We start from the raw sequence: 22,174 nt of genomic DNA, 5'->3' as shown, positions 1-22,174 counted from the left end.
ACCACAATTTCCCTACTTTTTGGCACGTGTCGTCTTTCAGTCTGAGGTAAACAGTTCCCACTGAAGCTATGTTGGCTCATTTAATAATTGCCTTGTTAGTTTTCAATTTGCTGTCATCATTTACAATGACACAGGCAGAATTTTGTATTTTCCTGTTTCCCATTCCTCATCAGCCAAGGGTCCACAAACTATACAAACCTGTTTTTATAAATAAAGTTTTATAGGAACACAGTCATGCTCAATTGTTTACACATTGTCTGCGGCTGCATTTGTGCTACAATGGCAGAGCTGACTAGTTGCCATAGAAAGCGTATGGCCCACAACGCCAAAAATATTTACTACCTGGCCCTTTACAGAAAAAGCTTGCTGAACTGTCTTAGGCCAAAATCCCCTCTATGTTTTCTACTTCATTTATCTTTGACTTTTTTAGTTAAAAAATTAAAGTTTTAGTTAAATTTTAATTTAAAAGTTATTTTTTAGATTTCCCTAAAGTCTAGGGCCCATGACTCTCCATCTAAACTTTCCCTCACAAGTATGAATTCAAGTAACGATCATACTAACAGCTAATGTTTATTGAATATTTGCCCTGTACTAAATGGACTGATTTGATTTTTGCAACCATGACATGACGTAGGTACTACTATCATCCCCATTTTTCAGAGGAGAAAACAGAGACACGATAAGGTAAAGGAATGTCGCTGATAAGTAGCAGGGCCAGCATTTGGACCATGGGGCATGATCTCAGTGCCTATGCCCTTACCACTGTGCTATCTGCCTGCCCAGTGAGGTTATTTTCTCCCAAAGCTTCCCTCACCTTTGTGCTCCCAATCAGTTTTTCCTTACTGGTTTAAGTTCCAGATAGAAGATCTCCGTGTGGTTTTCTTTACCTTCTCGAAGATTAATTTGCCAGCAAAGAAAGTCAAAGACTTATCTAGTTTCCTTCTACTTTTGTTTAAATGTTTGTCCCCTCCAAAACTCATGCTGAAATGTACTTCCAAATATGGCAGTATTAAGAAGTGAGGCCTTTAAGAGTTGATGGGGTCTGCCCTCCTGAATGGATTAATTGGATTAATGGGAATGATGGGTTATCTAGGGGGTGGGACTGGTAGTTTTATAAGAAGAAAAGAGGACATGATGAGCATGCTCAGTTCCCTAGCCATGTGATGCCCTATGCCAGTCACTCAGGACTCTACAGAGTCCCCACCAGCAAGAAGGCCCTCACCAGATGTGGCTCCTTGATCTTGAACTTCTCAGCCTCCATAACTGTGAAAAATAAATTTCTTTTCTTTATAAATTACCAGGTTTCAAGTATTCTGTTATAAGCAACAGAAAATGAACTAAGACACCTTCCTAGAAGGACCTATAGTTGGCATCTGCCTAGTGTCATCCCCATCACGGCTCTACCTGCCCACAGGCTAATTTATCATCTGTATTCAGAAACCAGCCTGCATACCTTGTGCACGACCTGGCAGTTTGTGTATAACTTCTGTCTCTCCTATTGTTCTAGCCATGAGCTGCTCTATTCCATCTGTGGAGGGAGGGAAGGTTCCATACAGTTGGCCCCATACAGGTGCCAATGAGGGCTTAACATCAGTGTTCCCCTACCTACATGTTTTCTTTTAGACAAGGAATAGCCTTCCAGAACCCCAGCAAAGTTCAATGGAGACCAACAAGTGCTTGAGACCCACAGAGGAGATTTCCAACACTTAGATCACATGCCCAAGCATTAAAAAGAAGAACTGTCAATTTAGTTTCACAAGTGACAGTAGACCCAAGGTAAATACAGCTTTGCAGGAGCCCATTAATTACACAAAGCAAGATCTACATTTTAAAAAAAGTGTATCTTCTACTCAGAGGACTCAGGAAAGTAAGAACTCAGAAGTGAAAATTAGTAATATTTGTATCAGCCAAAATATTCTGAGTAATTACTTTGCTCCATGCGTATGTTAAAAGCTTTTGCGGATTCACCTCTTTTAATCCACACTATTGTTCCACTATAATAATCCAGTATTATTAACCATGAAAAAACGGAAGTTTCAAGATATTTTAACAGTGCTCCCATATACCTACCTCCCTCTCTCTACCTGATCAGCAAAAACTAATCCTGCACATTTGTGCCCAACCACCACACACATTCTTACCCCACCCTCCCTGAAGTTTATTTGTTCTGTGTTCTTTTCTCAGTTCTCTTGGTAAAACAGCCTGTGCACCTACAATAAACGCTAATGGATTCGTCTGCCACTGTTTCTTCTTTTTTTATAATAAAATCCAATACATTTGTTGAATAATTAATACATGCTGATACATGTATACAAATTCATTTTATTTCTATCTCTTTCTTTGTTCTTCCAATTTTGACTGCTGCCTTCCAGAGCTAAGACATAAAAGTGAGCACATTAACCTCATGGCAGCTGAGTGGGGCAGGCAGGTTCCATGGTAAGAGCCCTGTAACGAAGATGCTAGAGCTTTGGAAGTTGGGCAAGTTCCATAGGAGGGGAAAAATCAGAGGAAAGGAGGGGAGCAAGCTAAAGTTAGTCCTGTATGGTCAAAAGCTGGAAGATGGGTTCAGGCTGAAGCTCTGCCACTTATGACCCTGGTGTGCATGTATAAGTATGTGTGTGTGTACATGTATATGTAATGAATTCAGGTAGAGAGGTGAGAGACATGACTGGGGCTGTGAAATCCAACAAAGCAGCCTCTTATTCTAGAATCATTCCCTCACACCAACCTGGCAACCGTGCCTGTCTCTCTGATGACTTACTCTTCTCCCTTCCAGTGAAGATGTCCCATGCCGCTATTCCTACTATGAAGAGCAGGGCCCTCACCCTTCCCTACAGCCCAGACCAGAAAAGCACTGCCCTTTGATAGGTGCCCAGAGCCAGGCCTGAGGATAGACAGAGAGACACAGCTGCTAGGCAAGGGCCACTGTTAAGGGTAAAATCAAGAGCCTGCAGTTTGCCATTTGCAAGGAGGAAGCAAGACTAAAGCCCACAGGAATGGGCTCAGCTCCATTTTTGTGGGGATCAGGGATACCTTTTATTTGGAATTCTAGAAATTATGACTTTCTTATTGTACGTTAATTAAACTTCCCCATCTGCTTTGCACTGTGACCTCCAATAAGGTCACTGGATAAAGATGGATGTGGCCCACGCCTCGTAACAGCCCTCAAAAACCCTCCCAAAATGCTTCAAGGTAGAAATTAGTGATCCTGGTTAAACTGGGCTGGGCCTGAGCCAGAAGGAGAGATGCTCTGACATGAGCCTCCATCTGTGGTTTCCTGCCCCTGTCCTACATCTGCAGGGGACTCTGGGTCCTAGGGGTAACAGGTAAGGGAGTGAGGCAGGGAGGGATTGGGAAAAAGGAAAAGCAAGAAGGGGCCCCCCCAACCTCAGACTCTGCATTCATCTCCGTCTGTAGTCAGCAGTCATTTCCTGTGCATCTCCCACTCTCTGGGCCTGGACCAGGCTCTGGGCTTAAAACACCAAGCATGACAGTGTCCTTGCTTGCAAGGAGTCCTCTGTCTACCCTCCCTGCTACCTGTTCTCAGCCCATTACCTGAGCCCTTGTCGCCCTGCTCTGTGGTCCTCAGGTCATGGCTCCCTCCCACCCCCTGCCCCGCTGGGATGCCGGTTACAGACCGTGGCAGCCACCACCATGGCTTGGCCTGATGCCATCTCTATCCTGACTGTTCACCCAGTGGGGTGGCTGTGGGGAGGGGAAAGCCCTGTGGCCATTGGGGGCAGTGGCACTCTGAGCACCTCTCGCATGGACATAACGTCATGTACAGTCACAAGTGCCTGCACCTCGGACACACTCATTCATTTGGCAAATATTTGAGTGAGTGTCTGTCATGTTCCAGGCATGGTACAGGTATGAGGGATATCACAGGGAGCAAGACAGATATGGACTTTACCCACCTACACTATCCTTCAAGCCTAGAGGTTTAGTGGGAAGAACAGATTCATGAACAATCTCCACAGGAAAACAGCTTTACCTGGAGAATCAGGGAAGGCTTCCCTGAGGAAGTGACATTTATACTGAGATAGACATGAGTCAATCATAGAGCAGGCATCTACCAGACATGGAAAACAGTATTAGTGACGTCTCAATGGTGAGTCAGCACAATGCTTTCAAGAAACTGAAAGGGGGCCTATGTGGCTAGAATAGGAGACGATGAACGGGGAAGAGGCACCAGGTGAGGGGAAGAGGCACCAGGCCCTGCTGCAGAGGACCTCAGAAGCCATGCCAAAGACTTCAGGCCTTACCCCATAGGCAATGGGAACCCAATGAAGGGTTTTTAACATGGGAGTGCCTATTGAAAGGACATATTTGGCCAGGCGCGGTGGCTCACACCTGTAATCCCAGTACTTTGGGAGGCCAAGGCGATCACCTGAGGTCGGGAGTCTGAGATCAGCCTGATCAACATGGTCCCACCTCTACTAAAAATACAAAATTAACCAGGCGTGGTGGCACATGCCTGTAATCCCAGCTACTCGGGAGGCTGAGGCAGGAGAATCATTTGAACCCGGGAGGCGGAGGTTGCAGTGAGCCGAGATCGTGCCATTGCACTCCAGCCCAGGCAAGAAGAGTGAAACTCCATCTCAAAAAAAAAAAAAAAAGACATATCTACCCATCACGTGGAGGGAGTATCAGAGTATCAGAGATAAGAGACTCTAGTTGGGACACTAATGTCATGGTTCAGGCAAGAGATATGAAGCCTTGGACCAAGGTGGAGGCAGAGGAGATGATGAGTTTGGGGTGGACAAAATGTGTGGTTTGAGTGGACGTAACAGGTGGGAGCAGATGCTTTTCAAAATAGCTTCTTGGTTTCTAGCTTGAACAACAGGATGGAGGATGATGGTGTTTGCTAGAACAGGATTATTTGCCCAGGCTGGCCTGGAGACCTATAAATTACCATCTCTATGCAAACCTGAATTCCAAGTTTCAAAATACAGATCTAGCAACAAACTTTTGAAGCAAGGCCTCCATAAAAATTGCGAATAGCCTGTTCTTTTATCATTTTATTAATATCAGGTGTTTTCAAAAGAGGCTTGTTCTGTATAACCAAGCCTGGGTCTCAGATATCCACATCCTTGAAAAGCAAAACAAAACAGAAAAAGAGAACAAAAAATATTGCTCACAGTTTGGCTTTGTTTTGTTTTGTTCCTATTTCTTGCTGACTAAAACTAAATGCTGCCATATGCTCAGAAAATATCCAGCGTTTGCATGTTTTTTTTTTTTAATTTAGTTTTATCTGGTGGAGTCACAGAGACTTCAGCTAAGTAACCCTATAATCTGCGCCTCGTGAATAACCATACAATTGAGCAATTGCAGTGATCACTGAGGGCTGCTGTGTGGACAGTAGGTTTTGGGGATTTTTCCAAAAATTTTTTTCTCAAATGCCAGGAAAGAGAACATGTGTGTTGAGTCTCATGGCCCAGTGTCCTTTGGAATCTGCAGCCTTCCTCCAAAAATAATTAAGGTGAAGAAACAGGGCCTTAGTAAGCCAAATGCATTTCCAGGCCTAAGTCCATTTCCCAAAATAATCTTTTGGACTTTTTTTTTAAGTGGAGAAACTTGGGAATAGCTAAATCTGTGCAGAGCCTTTTTGAGTGCTTAGAATTATCTTTTTAGAACTCTTCACTGCCTGATTATTGCTTATAGTGTCTCCACATCTCAGTGAATTATCACAAACCCTGTAGACTGATATTAACAGGCCCCATTTTTCTGTTGTGAAAGCTGGCTGGTAGCTGTGGGTTAACCTGTATAAAGTCAGGATGTTGGGGCCAGGTGTGGTGGCTCACACCTCTAATCCCAGCACTTTGGGAGGCCGAGGCGGGCAGATCACCTGAAGTCAGGAGTTCAAAACCAACCTGGCCAACGTGGTGAAACCCTGTCTCTAATAAAAATACAAAAAATTAGCCGGATGTGGTGGCACATGCCTGTAATCCCAGCTACTCGGGAGGCTGAGGCAGGATAATCGCTTGAATCGGGAGATGGAGGTCACAGTGAGCTGAGATCGTGCCACTGCAATCAAGCTTGGGTGACAGAGCAAGACTCTGTCACCAAAAAAAAAAAAAAAAAAAAAGGCAGGATATTGGTAAATTAGAGTGACAAAATTTGAACTTAAACTAGTCTAATGCTGAAACTCAAGATGATAAAGATTCCCATTTTACTCTAAAGTTGTTGATCCATAAGCAAAGTAAAGGACAGAGATGTTCTAAGGCCCAGAAACAACAGCACTGGTAGTTTCATACTATTCCCGAGTTCTAGATTTGACTGGATATCTCCAAGTTCAACATGTCACAAACACAAACCATCACGTTCCCTCCAAAGTTTGATTCCTTCCCATCTTCCCCAACTCATTCAATAAAGCTGCCATCTACCAAGCTATTGGTACTAGAAATCTTGGGATCAATCTTCATGCCTCTCACTTTTGGTGTTGCCATCTATAGCTCCTACCTTCTAAGCATCCTTCAAATTAATTATGTTCTTCATCCCCATCCATCTTCCACTACATTAGTTTTAGCCCTCATCATCTCTGCTCTGCACTTACCATAGCCCAATAACTCTTCCCCCTGCCAGAGAGATTTTTCTGAACACAAATGAAACCATGTCCTCACTCCTTAAATGGCTCCCCATTGCCTCTACACAATGAGAGCCACAATCCTGATCATCTTACACGGGGTCGTTCTTCATCGGTTTCAGCTTCATCTCCTGCTTCTCCTCACCCACTTCCTTCAAATCCCCCCTCTCACATTCATCCCTTCCCTTCACACCAACCATCTCTTGGCCATTGAATGTCTTGCTCTCTTATATTCCTCTGTGCCTTTGCATATAATATTCCCTCTGTCTTGATTCTTTCTTCTTTTCTTATCTCTTAGGGAATGCCTACTTATCTTTCATCTTCTCTGGGAAGCTTCCTTCCAACTCACAGGCAGAATTAGTTCCTCTCTATTTTGCTCCACTTTTATAATGTTTATCACAATGAATGGTAGTTGTCTGTTGTCTGCCTTGAGAGCTCTGATTTCCTAGAGTGGTGATTATGTATTATTCACCACTATATTCCCCCATGCCCAGTACATGCCTAGTCCTCAACAGCATCTCATTAAGTGTCTGGTAAAGAAGTGGATGAAAAAAAACATGGCACCCAAGCTTTAGAAATTGGGTGTGGTTTTGCACTAATACAGCAGCTATTATCAGCGAGCAGAGAAGACACTAGAGACAGCACAAGGTGACTCAGAGGTGAATGTGCGTGTGACAGAGGGCCAATGGGATGTTTAAAAAGCTTCAACAAGCATAAATGAATATGGGCAGACTCCCCTGAAATTGGCAGGCATTTTCCTTAGGGAGCTCTGTGTGATTTGCATAATTGACGCAGTTCTGCCCATCTCGTAAATCACAGTCTGAAAACAGCCACATGACAGCAGTCTGGCAGGGAAACCGAGGAGGACTTTGTATGAAGGACTTTCCCAGCCAGGCTGGGCAAATCATTTTCCAGTTCTCATTTTATTTTAACATGAATATATTACATGCCCATTCGGTATCTGGCCTTTTGCTCTATGCTCTAATGAGGCTTTTTTTTTTAAGTGTTAGATGTTCTCCTCCCATTCAGGAAATTACAGTCTCACTGAGAAAGCTAATATATACACCTGGAATTATCAGAAGTCACAAGGCTAGGTAAGATCAATGTTAGATTGTGCAAAATCACTTGGAAGTAAAAAAATACCTAGGGGATGGATGGATGGATGGATGGATGGTTGGATGGATGGATGGATGGATGGACGGACAGATGGATGGATGGATGGATGGATGGACACGTGGACAGATGGATGGACGGACAGACAGATGGATGGGTGGATGGATAGATGGATGGATGGATGGATAAATGGGTGGGTGATTGAATGGACGGATGGATGGGTGAGTGGACGGGGGGGTGGGTGGCTGAATGGGTGGAAGATAGATGGTAAGCTGAGATAATTAGGGAAGAGTTTATGGTGTTCATTTCCAGGCACAGAACTTAACACACAGGCCAAGCTTAAAAATGTTTGAATAAAAGACATGGAAGAGGAGACTGGTAGGAAGTGGAAAGGCAGAAAGGAGGAGAAAAAACATTGCAAAATGGAGGAAAATCTTGATAAAAGTAAGAAATGAGCACAATGTGGAGCAGAACAGAGTCTGAAGGGAAGAAGATGGATACAATAACTATCACTATAAAAATGGCCATTTACAGAGCTCTAACCATGTGCTAAGTACTTTTCATGCGCTATCTCCAGCATTCTTCACATACGTATACACATGCACACACACACACACACACACACACACACACAAAATCCTACGAGTATTGCTAACAACTCAATATGGTATATTAATGGAAGGAAAGCTCAAAGAAGTTAATCACCTTGCTCGAAGTCACCCAGCTAGTAGATGATGAGGACAAGACCAGAATCCAGGCTCTCGACTTCTTCTTACCACTGCACTGACCTAACTAGATAAACAGAGAATAGATATGGAACATCTTGACTTCAATAATGTGGAATTTCTCCAGGTCCCTAGATCACTAGGCAATGTTTCTAAGGACCATAGAAATCATATCTTTTTCCTGCTTCCCAAAACTTTTAAGTTACTCCATGCAGGATATATATTATGCAGAGTAACTGATTCAGCTGAAAAGCCCTAATAGCCAATGTACCTGCAAAATGTTGATTTCTGATATGGAAGATCAGACTTTTCCAAGCCTCAGTAAAAACTCCTGTTTGTGGGGCATGATCCCTATGCTCACAAGCTACAAACTGATCTGATAATGACTTCAACCTCCTCTTTGCTGGCTCCTCCTCTTCTTACTAATCTCTAAATGCTGGAGTTCTCCAGCATTCCTTCTCTATCAACACTCTTTTCTAGGTTATTTTTTGTAGTCTCACAGTGTTAAATATCTTCCATGTGCTGATGACTTCCAAATGTCTATCTCCTGCCTGACCTCTCCTGGACTCCTCTTATATATGCTCCTGCCTACTAGGCACCTTCTGTCACAGGGTTCATAGATGCTGCAAACTTCAGTATCTAAAACAAAGCTGTTAGTTGTTCCCTGCTCCCCACGTCTGACTACCCCTCAGTGTTTGTTGTCCCAGCCAGGATGTCAGTGTTCAACCGATTGCTCAAACCCTGCACCTGGAAGCCATCGTTGGTTAATTTCTTTCCCTCTCACTCTATGTCCATTCCACCAGCAAACCCTATGAGCTCCACATCCTCAATCTGTCCCTTTGTCTCCATCAGCACCGCTACCTTTCTCTTGGACCTTTAACTTCTTTTTTTTTTTTGAGACAGAGTCTCGCTCTTTCGCCCAGGCTGGACTGCAGTGGCGCTATCTCGGCTCACTGCAAGCTCCGCCTCCCAGGTTCACGCCATTCTCCTGCCTCAGCCTCCTGAGTAGCTGGGATTACAGGCGCCCGCCACCGCACCCAGCTAATTTTTTTTTTGTATTTTTAGTAGAGACGGGGTTTCACCGTGTTAGCCAAGACGGTCTCGATCTCCTGACCTCGTGATCCGCCCGCCTCGGCCTCCCAAAGTGCTGGGATTACAGGTGTGAGCCACCAAGCCCGGCCTGGACCTTTAACTTCTATCCTTGCCATCCTAAAGTCTATTCTCCACATAGCAGCCAAAGTGATGCTTCTGAAATGTAAATTACATTATGTCATCCCTTTGATTAAAGCCCCCTGCAGTGGGCTCCCATTGCATTGAGAATAAAGTGACCAGAAGTCTTCAACAATGGTCTACAGGGCTCTCCTTGGTATGGCCCCCAATTTCTCCCCTTTCCTTCCATCTCCCCTTCCCCCTCCCACCTTTTCTCTACCTCTTCTCTCCACACTTCACTATGCTTCAGCTCAGTAATCTACACCAAGCTTGGCCGGGCACAGTGGTTCACGCCTATAATCCTAGCACTTTGGAAAGCCACTTGAGGCCAGGAGTTCAAGACCAGCCTGAGCAACACAGTGAGACCTCATCTCTACAAAAAATATTTAAAAATTAGCTGGATGTGATAGCATGTGCCTGCAGTCCTACCTACTTGAGAGGGTGATGCAGGAGGATCTCTTGAGCCCAGAAGTTCTAGGCTAGAGTGAGCTATGATCATGCCACTGTACCCCAGCCTGGGTGACATGGGAAGAATCTGTATCTAAAAGAAACAAACAAACAAAACACACCAAGCTTGTTATTCCTCAGTGCCTTTGCACTGTCTGTCTCTTCAACACAGAACACTCAACTCATTTCCTTCTTTGGATGGATGGATGGATGGATGGGCGGATGCATGGATGGATGGATGGATGGATGCATGGATGCATGGATGGATGGATGGAAAGGTGGGTGGGTGGGTAGGTAGATGGATGAATGGATGGATGGATGGCTGGCTGGATGGATGCATGGATGGATGGATGCATGGATGGAAAGGTGGGTGGGTGTGTAGGTGGATGGACAAATGGGTAATGGAATATGCTGTGCACTTGGAATTGCTCCAAGCTAATCAGATATATGAGAAAATTATAATGCATCAAGATGCCAGTCTTTCAGCATTCCAAATAACAGGATGATTTAGCACAAGTTAAAATACTCAACATTAGTTTAAGGAATGATACTGATTGATGAGTGAAAGGTGAGAATTTTTGGAAGCCTGCAAGAAGGACTGATATTTTTTGGTCCCCAAATGACACCTTCTTTGCCCTCATAAAATGTTATTCCTGGCAGGAAGTACCAGTCACTCCTCACCGCTTGAATGAAAATAAGAATGAAATGAAGGAAGGAAGGAATGGAAACAAGAGACAAACAGGAAACCATGTTTATTTTTTACCATAAGTCAGCCAAACTCCCACACACCTATGCTGTGCATTTCCTCTGTTGGGTGTTAGAAAGCGCAGCAAGAAAATGACCGTTTCCTCCTCCCTTTCTTCAAGAAGCTATCTGGCAGTCACCCTCTGGATACACAGCATGTGAAAGATTGCAGTGGAGCAAAGCTTAGAGGCAGGAAAAATGCTCCATTCTCCATTTATCCAGGATTTCTCAAGAGAGTCATTTAGAAACTCTCCTTAACAGGGAACCGTGTAGATATTTAGCAGTGGTAAGGCTAATAGGGACAAGGTAACATTTGATTTAAAACTCTCACATGCTTGGCTGGGAGCGGTGGCTCACACCTGTAATCCCAGCACTTTGGGAGGCCGAAACGGGCAGATCCCAGAGGTCAGGAGATCGAGACCATCCTGGCTAACATGGTGAAACCCCGTCTCTAATAAAAATACAGAAAATTAGCCGGGCATGGTGGCGGGCGCCTGTAGTCCCAGCTACTTGGGAGGCTGAGGCAGGAGAATGGCGTGAACCCGGGAGGCAGTGCTTGCAGTGAGCGGAGATCACGCCACTGCACTACAGCCTGGGCGACAGAGTGAGACTCCATCTCAAAACAAAACATGCCTTACTGGGCCACAAGGTAGATCAGGTTGCTGTAGAAAATTGTTCTGTGATGAAATGACATGGAAGAAAACAGCAGGACCCTTAACACCGTGGGATGTGTGCATGTTTCTAAACCTTGCACTCCAGGGCTGGTAAAGTTTACCTCCAATCGATTTATTTTGCTCAGCGAGTTTTCTTTATCCAACAGAGGCTCTTCTCAAGAGAAATTGGAATGTGAATACCTGTTCTAATTTAGACTGCTCTTTTAACTTCATTTAAATTACTATTATCATGCCCAGTCTTCCATAATGATGCACCTTGGTAGGCTGAAATGTCTCTGAGGTGCAGGCCTTTAATGAAGATCTTAGTCCAAGAGATATAATTTGACTAGTCTGCCATGAAGTGCTCACCGACTCAGCTAGGCTTTGTCCCAACTTGCACTGACCTCCCTGCCCCCTAAGGATGCAGTCTGCTTGGCTCTCTTCCATTTTCCATGGTACAGGTACCCGACTGTCTCTTTCTGCTTAGCTCCACCTGCCCATTCTTTGTATAACAATAGCATCACAGTCAAACACAAACAAGAATATTGGCAAAATATCCTTATCCATATCCACATGGGCAAGAAAGTGATTAAAATGTCATTCAGTTGAGAATAAAGTTGCTTTAAAATGTAGTTGTTGGCTGGGCACAGGGGCTCATGCCTGTAATCCCAGCACTTTGGGAGGCCAAGACGACTGGATCACCTGAGGTCAGGAGGTCGAGACCAGCCTGGCCAACATGGTGAAACCCCATCTCTACTAAAAATACAAAAATTAGCTGTGAATGGTGGTGCATGCCTGTAATTCCAGCTACTTGGGAGGCTGAGGCACAAGAATCGCTTGAACCCAGGAGGTGGAAGTTGCAATGAGCCGAGATCGCGCCACTGCACTCCAGCCTAGGCAACAGAGCAAGGCTGTCTCAAAAAAAAAAACAATGAAAAAAATAAAAAATAAAACAAAAATAAAATATGGTTGTCTTAAGTTTTTACACATGCTGAAGAATTTGGAGCTTCATTCTGACCTTTTTCCATATACAAAGGAGCCTGAAAATTCTCCTAGACGTTTCATAAGAGTTTGCAGTATAGCAAGGATCTTGACTTGAACGGAAGCTGTGTTTCCCTGAGGTGTCAGGTATGTGAAGGTATCACTGGGGTCCAGTGAGCACATGAGATTGATCAAATAAAAGGTCTCAATCATTGGGAAATAAGAGGCCGTTTTTGGCATAGCGTGGGAGTCTGTCACTCAGATCAACTCTTCAAGAATTTATGCCCGGGTCCTAGGAAGAAGGGAGTCACAAGTGAAATGATGGGAATTCTATGACATGGTGAGGCCATGACAGCACTGGTCCGGAACCGAGGCCTGGGAACACACAATGGGAAGAGACAGGGGACCCTCTTAGATAGAAAACAGGAGCAACTTTGTTCCTCAGAGGTATGAGCAAATTAGCAGTGCCAACTTGTGTGCTTTGACTCTCTCAACCCAGACCCCATTTCTTTTAGAACACCTCCCCACCCCCATTCCTTATCTAGTCTTCAGAGATAATTGACAATCCATATCTATGGAGGATCACCACCCCTTTCTTACTTTTCCAGGAAGGATCCTTGAAGCACTTGAGTAGAAAGAGCACACATATTCAATGAGTCCTGCTCTGAAAACAGAGGGCCTCTAACATGGGACTCCAGACCCAGAAAGCCAGGAAGATAGTGCCAGGTTTGGGAAGAGGGATGGAGAATCCTGAGTTCCAGTCCTAGCTTTGCCACTGACAGATGGACGACTTAGGCAGGAAATTGCTTCCCCTCTCTGGGGCTTCTGTTATTTCGTACGGCTGCTTGCCATGAATCTCCTCCAGGGGACTCTCTGGGTCTGGAATTCATTCTTTTGAAAGGTAGTCTGGGATCTCCAGGCTCTGGAAATACCTGCATGGCTGGGGAGCGACTGCACGGGAAGGTACAGGATTTCCCGAGTTCACAGTTGCAGACTCACTATGCCATGCAGGCTCATCTGCCACAGAAGTTGGAAAAAAGTGTCAAACATGCATCATCGTATATTCCCACATCATTCAGCTGATTTGCCTCCAATCCGGATCCAATGACCTGTCTTACTGCTCTGGGCTCCACTTTAAGGTGGAGAGTTTCGCATCTGGAAAGTGAACAGCCAGGGCCTGCAGGGAAGTTCATCATTCTTTTCAATTTGTTAAAATCATACCACCCCTATCTCCCTCCCTTCGGGGCTGGCCAGTCTTTCTCACCTTCCCTCCTGAAACTGCAAACAACATATATTCAGAAGCGAAGTGATAGATTAGTGCAATGAACTGAATGTTTGTGTCCTCCCCAAATTCACATGTTGAAACCCTAATCCCCAGTAGGATGGTTTTGGGAAGTGAGGCCTTTGGGAAGCAATCAGGTCATAAGGAGTGCTCATGAACAGGATTAGCGCCCTTATAAAAAGAGACTCCAGAGAGCTCTCTACCATCTTCCTGCCACATGAAAACACAATGAGAAGTTGACCATCTGTAACCCGGGAGAGGCCCTTACCAGAACCCAACCACGCCGGCACGCTGATCTCCGACTTCCAGCCTCCAGAACTATGAGAAACACATTTCTGTTGTTTATAAGACACTCAGTCTATGGTACTTTGTTACAGTACCCTTGGCAGACTAAAACAATCAATGGGTTATGATGCCTGAATGAGAAATAGAGCAGTTTAATTTGGAGCGAAGGGAAGTCAATGTGGGATCATTTTTGTAACAGGGAAGAACGAGCAGAGGACAGATCCTTCCTTATTTAACCACCTCCCATTCTTACCACTATGCTGTCCAGAGATGAAAATAGACAGTTAAATATTTGGTTAGTCAAGGAGGTGTTCACCCAGGAACAAAATCTCTTGTGTGTCATTTGCCTTAGTCCCCTAGATACTGACCTCCAGTCTCAAACAAAAGGAAATGAGGAACGGGAAAACGATGATAAGACAGGACTTGAACCTTAACTGCTGCTTCCTCAGGCCAGACGGAGCTGTCCTTAAATGCACTGTCCTACTGCTTGCTGGGTCACTGCTGTTATGTGCTTGCTGGCATTTGGGTCTGGTCTGGTATTGATTTAAGGGAAGGAAATAAGTCACAATTCCTTATGGGCAAAGATAATTGCAATGGGACTCGTTTTTCCTAACCAAAGTCTTTTCTTCATTGCCACTGGATTCAAAACGACTCCATCTCCACATTCTCCACCATGGCTGTCTCCCCAGAGTGGGCATTCCAGTCCCTGCCCTCTGGCCTTTAATGTGGCCATCAGCTAATCTTCGAAATCCTCCTCTTCCACCCTTCCCTAGATAGTTCCTGAGGCTTAAAAGAAATTTTTCCTTTAAAGCAACAACTCTATTGTCCAGATACAGGGCTTTGTACTTGCCTATTTGAAGTCTAATCTTTTCATTCATACTTTGATGAATAAAGTGGTCTATTATTTTTACATGTATAGAGAACTGGCCTAAAGGTACGGCCAACTCACAAGTTCTATTTGTAGACAATGGTAGTTGGTGAAGAATGTATCTATTCTCTCACAATGTTCCTTCCAGGCTGTAAGAAAAGCAAGTCTCAAACCAAATTTGTCCTATCGCATGGACATTTATTCAATAAATAATTATTGGCAAGCAGGCTCAACACAGTTCACGCAATCGTTTCCATAGACTCAAATGAACTTCCAGCTCTCTTTTGGGAACTATAAACATCACATTTATAGGACAAATTTTGTCAAGACAGACACAAAAACATACCAGAGGCAGGATTCAGTTACTCTCAGTTATCCTCGCAAGACTAGAAATGCTCCCAAGTCAGAGAATTAAGCCAAGGTCAGTGACCCAGCCTCAGGTTCATGGTCTAAGGGTACGTGTGACAATCTTGTAAGATGTTCATGCCCTGGTAATGGAAGGTAGTGGGTGTCTCTAAAATATTTTAGCCAACACACAAAACCTGAATGCTTTGATTTCTCCAATGAGAATGCATTTCTAATAATCGTTGTGCTAATTAACAAGCTATCATCTTCACCAATAAGAGTATTTCTAATATCACTCAAAGGAGTTAGCCAGCTTGCTTTAGGCAGACAGTAAGTGAAGGGTTCCCGGAGAAACTCCGACCCGTGTTTTGTGCAGATAAGGGAACTTGCACAGGGGGCTTGCCCTGCGCAACATGCCCGCAGTGGACTAAGGGCCTGCATGTGCACTGAAGGAATGCGGCAGAGCCACAAGGAATTCGCACCTTATACAACTAGGGAATCCAGCCCCATCAGCACGTATGTAAAAGCCCTTGTATTCAACTGTGAAGGGGACAACCAGGAACCTGCTTTCAGGACTTTTCTCTTTGCTGAGAGCTTTCCTTTTGCTTAATAAGTTCTACTTCACTCACTCTTCGAGTGTTCGCATGACTAATTTTTCCTGGTTGTGAGAGAAGAACCCGGACCTAGCTGAGCTAAGGAGAAAAAGATCCTGCATCATCACTATGCTATCTAGCAAAGCCTCGGATGTTGACCAAAATCTGGGTAACAGAGCACTGATAGTAACCGCATTGGGTATGGTACCTCTGACATAGCTAACTAGATATCCACACTCCCATCTCCATCTACCACCCTTTCCAATGTGAATTCTCATTTTGGGTGACTGGATGGATATAAAGTTAAAGCTTAAACTAACTGCCCATGCATAATTTTGCATAGTCTATGTTAAAATACTTTAAAGGAGAACATTGCAATGACTCCTTATAACTCAGCTTCTAAGTCACAGCCCAAATCAAGTCAATCCTAACTCCTTGAGTATTCTGCCTTACATATTATTTCATGTGCAATGCTGGATGCTTCCTATATCAAGTGTGTGCAGATGAAGAAAATACATGATGAATTTATAATGTTGTGGAGGCAAAGACATGTAAACGTATTATTTGAGGAGGGAGAAAACATGGAAGGATAAAACAGCAGCTAGTCACAAGACGTCAAATTGAAACATTGGCTTTGTGCTCTGCACATTTTTTAAAAATCTTAATCCAGTGACATCCTTGATATTAGAGGGCTATGGCTAGTTATGGGGACTGGTTAAGTTAAGGTATTAACCAACTGGATGAAAAGTATGTAGGTAAATTTTACTTCACATTTCAAAAAGTAAAATAATATGAAGAAAGGACATATTTAAGGGGAAAGATGAAGTGTTCTGTTTTATATGTTTTATTCATACTTTGGTGAATAAAGTGGTCTATTGTTTTTACATGTATAGAGAATTGGCCTAAAGGTTATGCCCAACTCACAAGTTCTATTTGTAGATAATGGTAGCTGGTGAAGAATGTATCTATTCTCTCACAATATTCCTTCCAGGCTGCAGGAAGGAACTATATGTGTTTTCTATGGAATATGGAAATGTTAGAGTCCAATGGATATTTGGATATGTAGAAGGAGACATTTTTTTCTGATTGGATAAACATAAGTTTTAATGCCAAAGAGAAGCAGTGTGTAAAAAGATAGAGAATGTAGGGGAATTTGAAGGTCAAGCACAGAAATTCCAGAGGACACAGGGTAAGGCTGAGTGGGAGAGAAAGAAAGGAAGAGCCAAGTGAGAGGAACAGTATGTGTAGGAAGGTAGCAGAGCATCTGCAGCCACATGGCAGAGACCAAGGCTGATGGTAAAGTGAGACATGGTATGACGACCGCATCTCAAGGTCTCAAAAGAGCTAGGAGGTAAAGCAACTTCATGGCAGTGAAGGGGTGAGTTTGCACACTCAATGGCGGGCTAGTGTATAGGGGCAGCAATTTATCCAAAAGCCCTATTTATACAGGCCCTGCCCTTGATCTGGGCAAGGGAGCTCCATCAGGATAAGATGTGATCTCTTTCCCAATCACGAGTTCTCTGCCACAATTACCTTGCTGGTCCAGTTACCTGGTTTCTACCTGACTCAGGTAGGAACACTCCTTCTTTGAACGATTGGGTTTTCTAATCCTAAAAACCACACTTGTATACTCAGTGTCATTATAAATATGCACCCACACCCGGGATGTTCCTCCATCTATCCTAATGGATGACTACATCCAAGGAAATATCCAGAAGTTTAAGAGCACCCAAGAAAGCAAACTTACACACAGGTATACCTTCTCTTTAAGTGGTACCTACTTATGGTTTTATCTGATAAATGAAATCACTGCATAGCCATTTGTGAAAAATGTGGAAAATATAAAAAAAGCACAAAGGATAGAATTAAAATCGCCCATTATCTGTACTCCTCTCTCAGAAGTAACTACCATATTACCATTTAAAACCTACTTCCAGACTTTTTTCTTCACACAGATAACTTATACATTTTATTAAAATGGATCTATTTGCATAATCATATACTCTGAATGTTTTTCTATGTTAGGAAATATTCTTCTACTAAAATAATGTCAATGGCTGCATGGTACAGATTAATTTTCCAAGTTTTCATTTTTATGAAACAAATTGTGCTTATTATGCCTGTAAATAAGTTTTTGCAGAAATTTATTCTTACTTCCTTAAGATGGGTTCCTATATATGGAATTGATAAATGAAAGCATATGTGCATTCATAAAGCTTTCAAGACATCACCAAATTACTCTGCAGAAACTCTAATATTCCCCCCCCATCAGAGGTATGGGAAAGAACCTTATTCCCTGTTCCCAAACCTTCCAATATTAAAGAAGTTCAGCCATACCAAATACACAAAGTGGCTATTTGCATTACAGAAGAAGCAATAATTACTAAGTAGTCAAGGGCACGGACTTTAGAATCAGATCGTCCTACACTCAGATGTGTAGTTCTATCACTTCTTATGTGAGAGATTTCCACTGGGTTATTCTAAAAGAAAAAGAAAAATGCCTTATTAAGGTATAATCACCATACAATCAATTGAACATATTTAAAGTATACAATTTCAACCATAAGAGAGCTGGCATGGCATACTAACATCAGACTAAACAGACTTTAAGATGAAGTATACGAGTTGATAAGTTTTGACACATGTACACAACTCATGAAACCGTCACCACAATGAAGATTGCAAACACATCCATCCCCCTCAAAAGTTTCCTTTTGGAATTTCTCCTTCCTGGTCTTCTCCAGTCCCAGCCCCAAGCAAGCACAGATCTTTCCGTCACTACAGATGAGTTTATATTTTCTAGAGTTTTGTATAAATGCCACAAAATAGCATGTACTCTTTCACCTTGCTTCTTTCACTCAACATAGTTTATTTTGAGATTCATTTATGTTGTCACATATGTCAATAGGAAACTGGTGACATCAGGGTACAATTGAGACTGGGAAGGTCAAGTGACTCAATGAACAGCATGTAATCAGGGCTTGGATGTAATATCAGGAGAACTGCAGAAATGAGTGAGAGCTCAGGGTACAGTGGTGAGGGGTGGCAGGGATGGGGTGGAGGGCGACACGTTCGCAAGCAGAAGACAGGGCTGAAAATCAAGCCTCAGAGCAGGACTCTCTTAGGGTGCACGGAATCATGTGAGCTCAAATCCACCCTACGTCACCACAAAAAGCAAATCAGAGTAAGTCCCTGGCATCTGTAAGAGTCTTTGCTTGCCAAAGGGGCAATCAATCTAATTCTAATTAGAGAATTAGAATTAGAACTATCTATGGACTTGCCAGGAAAGGCCCTTAACACTCTGATATCCATTCATTTCTTTTCAAAAATGGAATTCTTTGTAATTGACTGAGTTGAAATCACTGGAGTTATTTGTATTAACAAGCCCATACACATCTGGGAATTTTGCTTTATTCTATTACAGCCTATACAATGCTAATAAACATGCATTTTCTTCCAGCCTCCGAGCTACTTAAGAAAAATTAAAAGGACATATTTCACTGCAAACAATCCTCTTTGAATTGACATGGCAATTCTAAAGCTTTCCCTCGGTCCCCAAAAGTAATTACACCCAGTCAGGGAAAATAAATCTTTGTTTTCTAATTATAGAACAGATGTTTTCCAGAAACAATTACCCCTAAGCCACTAGTAAAAATAATATAACAAATTGATCTTTGATTTAGGAAACAGCTGTGTGATTCTACCAGCAACAAACACTTATTAGAAGAAAAAAAAAGAGTTGCAATTTATATGAACCAAATGTATTTCACATTTCCTGATTTTCCCAATTTCCCAGAATTCTGAGATTCCAGGAATCAAGAGCAAGAGCCAGTCACTGCTGTTTCTTTGAAAGCAGTGGAAGCCTGGGGGGCACTTTACTTTGGCCGAAGAGGAATTTCATGAGCTCACTCCTGTTGGATCTCAGGACCCTCGGTACATCTTACCTATTATCTTCCCTGTAAAGGTACTAACAATTTTCTCCAGGGTGGTTCTGACCAATCATTCACTCAACACTCAACTTCACTGAGCATCTACCATCTCAGGCACAGTGTCACTGGCCTGCTCTAACCCTTTCAGAGGTTCCCCTGTTGCCTGGTAAACTAAGCTAAGCATCAGTGCCTCACCTGAGAATTGGAGACCCTCCACAACACACGTACTCCTAGCACCCTTTCTTTTTTTTTTTTTTTTTTTTGAGACAGAGTCTTGCTCTGTCGCCCAGGCTGGAGTGCAGTGGTGCGATCTCGGCTCATTGAAACCTCCGCCTCCCAGGTGCAAGAGATTCTCATGCCTCAGCCTCCCAAGTAGCTGGGATTACAGAGGCGTGCCACCTCGCCCAGCTAATTTTTGTATTTTTGTATTTTTTAGTAGAGATGGGGTTTCACCATGTTGGCCAGGCTGGTCTCGAAATCCTGATCTCAGGTGATCCACCCGCCTCGGCCCCCCAAAGTGCTGGGATTACAGGCGTGAGCCACCGTGCCCAGCTGTGCTTCTTGCACCCTTTCCTATTCTTAGCTTCCACTCCTCTGTGCTCTTCTTACCTCTACTACTTCCCACTTTAAGTTGACTTCCAAGCTAGAGATAGTCACATTTTATGCCAGAAATTTCTTTCTTCAATTAACATATCTTAGGACCAATTGTCCTGCAGGAACATATATAATGTTTGGAGTATATACAGTTAAAAGCAAAATTATTCTTACAGATATGTAGCCATCAGTTTCCTCATTTTCACCATAATTTTGTCCAATTACAGAATTTTGTGAACCTAAGGTGTACCTACCATACTCTGTTTTATTTTTTCTCAACATTAGCTCTAATGCATTCTTCTAAATTACTATTACAGTTATCATAACCACTGCTTGGTCTCCTTCAGGCATTTTAATACATCTAGCTTTCCAAAGTTATTGACATTTTTAGGCACATTTTTTGTATCAGGCTTAGCACCTGCACAAAATAAAAGTCTAGATAATATTATTTCACACTATATAAAAGATTTAAAAATTATAATAACTGTAAATATTAAAATGGCAACACAGCAATCACCACGATCAGAATTTTCAATACCCATAAACAACAGATTGGTATCTGGACTAAATAATAGTGATGTGGAATAGTGAGTATTTTGCTTAACCAGGAAAAGATGCATCAACGTTTCACAAAAATTCAAACACATTTTATTATTCACTCAGCCCTCCAGCTTGGAAGTTATAGAATAAATTGGCTTTTTTTATTTGAGAAATGAGAATAATTCCACATTTGTACAGTAAATGAAACTCCATTAATATACCTATGCATCATATTTTCAAATTCCTCTAACTCAGGCTCACGTAAAATGAAACCACTTTGAAATTTTCTCCCTTAAATGTCCTCCCTCCTTCTCCCAACAATTTAGACCTGTCAGAATCTCACCAGTGTTTAAAGCCTAGATGACACAGAATTAATTTGCTTGTTGCTTAAATCCAGTAACATCTGAACTTCTATTACAGTAGTGTCTTATGTGAATGTGTCTGCTTTTCTTATCTCTTCCTATTCCTCCTTAGACTAGCTATTCCTTACAGACAACTAAGAAGTATCATACAGTTAGAGCCCTTAAACAGTTAGCACACAGCGCTTGATTGAGGAGGTGTTGAGGAAGTTTGCTGCCAGGTGTAGACCCAACCATGGGATTGCTGGATCACAGAACAGTTTTGGTTTTAATTTTTAAATTTTAATTTAACACCATACTGTTTTCCATAATGGCTATACTAATTTGCATTCCCACCAGCAGTATATAAAGGTTCCTTTTTCTCCACATCCTCACCAATACCTGTCATCTTTTCATGTCTTTGATAGTAGCAATTCTGACTAAGGTGATAGCTCACTGTAATTTTGATGTGCATTTCCCTGATAATTAGCAATGTTGATCATTTTTTCATACACCTGTTGGCCATTTGTATGTCTTCTTTTGAGAAATATCTATTCAGGTATTTTGTCCATTTTTTTAATTGGCTTATTTGGTTTTTTGTTGTTGAGTTGTTTGAGTCTTTATTTTATGTTTTTTCTCTGAAATGGGATCTTGCTCTGTCACCCAGGCTAGAGTGCAGTGGCACCATCATAGCTCACTGTAGCCTCCAACTCCTGGGTTCAACTGATTCTTCCGCCTCAGCCTCCCAAATAACTGGAACCACAGGTGCATGCCACTTCACTTGGCTAATCTTTAAATTTTTTGTAGAGATAGGGTCTCACTTTGTTCGCTGGTCTCAAACTCCTGGCTTCAAGCGATCATTCCACCTCAGACTGCCAGAGTGCTGGGATTACAAACATGAGCCACCACACCCAGCCTTGGATATTAACCCTTCATCAGATG

At 42.8% G+C, this 22,174-nt stretch overlaps 1 long non-coding RNA gene across 1 annotated transcript in view, besides 2 other annotated features; it reads right to left on the bottom strand.

The window, feature by feature from the left end:
• Window positions 3,079-3,578: an enhancer, noted in NCBI's record as "H3K27ac hESC enhancer chr17:66682987-66683486 (GRCh37/hg19 assembly coordinates)". NCBI's record gives its function as "activates a minimal SCP1, AML or CMV promoter by ChIP-STARR-seq in naive H9 embryonic stem cells {active_cell/tissue: H9 hESC(naive)}" and the evidence as "EXISTENCE:reporter gene assay evidence [ECO:0000049][PMID:30033119]".
• Window positions 3,579-4,080: an enhancer, noted in NCBI's record as "H3K27ac hESC enhancer chr17:66682485-66682986 (GRCh37/hg19 assembly coordinates)". NCBI's record gives its function as "activates a minimal SCP1, AML or CMV promoter by ChIP-STARR-seq in naive H9 embryonic stem cells {active_cell/tissue: H9 hESC(naive)}" and the evidence as "EXISTENCE:reporter gene assay evidence [ECO:0000049][PMID:30033119]".
• LINC01482 (long intergenic non-protein coding RNA 1482) overlaps window positions 10,818-22,174 on the bottom strand; it is a 51,453-nt gene continuing 40,096 nt past the window's right edge. Inside the window, exons 3-5 of the long non-coding RNA NR_110825.1 lie at window positions 18,258-18,311; window positions 13,059-13,475; window positions 10,818-12,833 (exon numbers count right to left, since the gene is read on the bottom strand). This is a non-coding gene — a long non-coding RNA (long intergenic non-protein coding RNA 1482). The remainder of the gene's footprint in view (window positions 12,834-13,058; window positions 13,476-18,257; window positions 18,312-22,174) is intronic.

Source organism: Homo sapiens, chromosome 17 (assembly GCF_000001405.40).
Source record: "Homo sapiens chromosome 17, GRCh38.p14 Primary Assembly".
Lineage (NCBI taxonomy): Eukaryota > Metazoa > Chordata > Mammalia > Primates > Hominidae > Homo > Homo sapiens.
Note: the sequence above shows the minus strand (reverse complement) of the source record. Positions and strands in the feature narration are given on the sequence as shown.